This window comes from Homo sapiens, chromosome 7 (genome assembly GCF_000001405.40).
Source record: "Homo sapiens chromosome 7, GRCh38.p14 Primary Assembly".
Classification (NCBI taxonomy): Eukaryota; Metazoa; Chordata; class Mammalia; order Primates; family Hominidae; genus Homo; species Homo sapiens.
The window spans coordinates 55,308,672-55,311,232 of NC_000007.14; the positions used below are offsets into that span (position 1 = coordinate 55,308,672).

The 2,561-nt window shown below is 48.7% G+C and overlaps 1 annotated feature.

Moving 5' to 3' along the window:
* Window positions 2,126–2,310: a silencer, noted in NCBI's record as "fragment chr7:55378490-55378674 (GRCh37/hg19 assembly coordinates)". NCBI's record gives its function as "represses an EF-1alpha promoter that drives an FKBP-Casp9 reporter gene in an ReSE screen in phorbol 12-myristate 13-acetate-treated (for megakaryocytic differentiation) K562 erythroleukemia cells {active_cell/tissue: K562(+PMA)}" and the evidence as "EXISTENCE:reporter gene assay evidence [ECO:0000049][PMID:32094911]".

Below are 2,561 nucleotides of genomic sequence, written 5' to 3' on the forward strand. Positions count from 1 at the left end.
TTGAAAATTTGGAAGTTGTGACCCTGCTGGGCCCACATTCCCTAGAGTGTTGGGTCTCCTGGGCTCAGCAGCTGCTGCCCCTGAGGGAGGCATGCATCTCTCCTGTGTAAGTTTCCACCTGGCTCTCTGGCTTGGTCATATTGGCTTCCTGGCCTCTTTTTGCATGTAGTTTGTGATCCCTGATTGTAGGTTTCATCATTTATCCTGGGCTGTTTCCTCCTGGGAGTTATAACCTTCCTAATCTGAAGCTGAAACTCCCCCAAATGCAAGCTAAACGTGAGTTGACAGTAATGGCTAATGCCTAAATAGCACCTACTGTGTACCAGGCCTGAAACACTAACTCATTTCATCTTCACAACAAGCCTATGCTGTGGGTGCTGGTTACTGCAACAGGCCTGAACCACCAGCTCATTTCCTCCTCACAAGCCCATGCGGTGGGCACTCGTTACCACACTAGGCCTCAACAACCAGCTCATTTCGTTACCACACCAGGCCTGAGCCACCAGCTCATTTCCTCCTCACAAGCCCATGCGGTGGGCGCTCGTTACCACACTAGGCCTCAATAACCAGCTCATTTCATTACTACACTAGGCCTCAACCACCAGCTCATTTCATTACCACACCAGGCCTGAGCCGCCAGCTCATTTCATCCTCACAAGCACATGCAGTGGGCGCTCATTAGCCCCGTTTTACAGGTGAGGACACATGCTCAGAGACTTTAGCCCACTTGTCTGGAGCTGACTGCCTCCACACCTTCTGTGTGATTCACACTGACACAACTGGACATTTCCTACCACGAACATGATATTCACTCTGGTTTTCTGCCTTGACCTCTACATTTTTGGCCCCTGCACATTTGGGCCTCAACCTTCCAGACACGGTTCCTCCAGCTCGGTTAGAGTCCCGTGCTCCTCCTCCCATGCCTTTGGTGCCCACACTAAGTCGGGGCTCAGAAGTCACTCCATCTGTGACTTGGCTGCTCTGCTTTGTGAGCTCAAGAAACCAGGAAGCCTGTTAAACACGCCATCAGGAATGCTGAAGAATTAAGATTGTCCAATAAAAGTCAGTGTCAAAGGAATGGAAAATGAAGTGTGGATGGGAACCGTTATTTCTCAGGAGTCAGGGAGTATCTAAATTTGCTGTCTGAAGTCAGAGCCATAGAAAATCCCCAGCTGCACTCTGGTAGTAGTGGTTTTAGCACCTTTACTTGTCATTACAAATAAATTTGAAACTGAAGGAAAGTGAAGAAACACCTCTCAGAAGAGCATGATGCCTTCGACCTGGTTTGCTAGGACAGGAACTGGACACAGATTCTGAAAATCTCATTCATTCAAGCTGAATAAAATGTAGACGCAAGGACATTTACATAGTCAGCCATTCCTCAAGGATTTACTGAGTGCCTACTGTGTACCAGAAGTGGTATTCGTTAGGTACCACATGTTTCATTCATTTGCTCATAGTCCTTTGAGGCCCTTCTAGGTGGAAGCCCCACAATAGGCTCTGGGGATACAGCCCCTGCCACTGCAGAGCTGATGTTTTCACATAAGATTCAGACTTCCAACAACCAATTACACTACTGGTTAATCACAATTATAGTGCTGCAACTAGGCGTTCCCAGTCAGTCTGGGAAATGCAGAAAGGCCTCCCTGGTGAGAAGGTCTCTGCACTAAAATCTGCAGGAGCTGCAGGAGCAGAGTGAAGGGAGGTAAGGGAAAGTGAGAGCCTGCCAGGCAAAAGGAAGAGGAAGCGCCAAGGACCTATGGAGGGTGGGAGCCAGGGAACCGAAGGAGGCAGTTACCAGCACTCCTGAAGCACAGGCAGCTAGAGAAGAGAGCCACAGGCTGGACAGTGACCTTGGCAGGGGACACACCATGCAAGGCTAGTGAGCCACGTTCAGAATTTTGAGATTTATCTTGAAAGCCCTGGGAAATCATTAGCATTTTAAGCAGAATGGTAATATGGTCAAATTAGCATTTATAAAGGCCCTGTGAAGGAAGGTCAGAGGTGCAGCAAGAATGGACGCAGTGAGTTGGTTACTGGGTGAATTCGCCAGGCAGGCAAGAAGGGGTGTTGCAGAGCCAGGTTTCTCCACAGCCACATCAGTGACATTTGGCATCTCATTGATCTTTGCTGTGAGGGCTGTATTGTGCACGGCAGCATGCTTTGCATCCCTGGCTCTGCCTGCTGGATGCCAATAGCTCCCTCCCCGAGTCATGACACACAAAAATATGTCCACTGGACATTGCCAAATGTCCCTCGTTGGGGGAAATCACCTATAGTTGAGAAGCACCAATTTAAAGTGGGGACAAGGGATGTGAAGAGATATGGACAGATTCACAATGTGTCTTGGAGCTGGAATCAAAAGATATTAGTGACATATTTGAAAAGGGATGGAGGGCATGAGGTCAGGGCTGACTGTAGCTTGAGGTGCTGGGTGGATAACACGGCGACCATTGCTAGAAAATACGAAGGAAGGCAGGATTTGAAGGAAAAGATAATGAGGTCCATCCTAAGTATTTCATTGGAAAGTTGACCTCTCCCTCTCCCTCTCCCCACGGTCT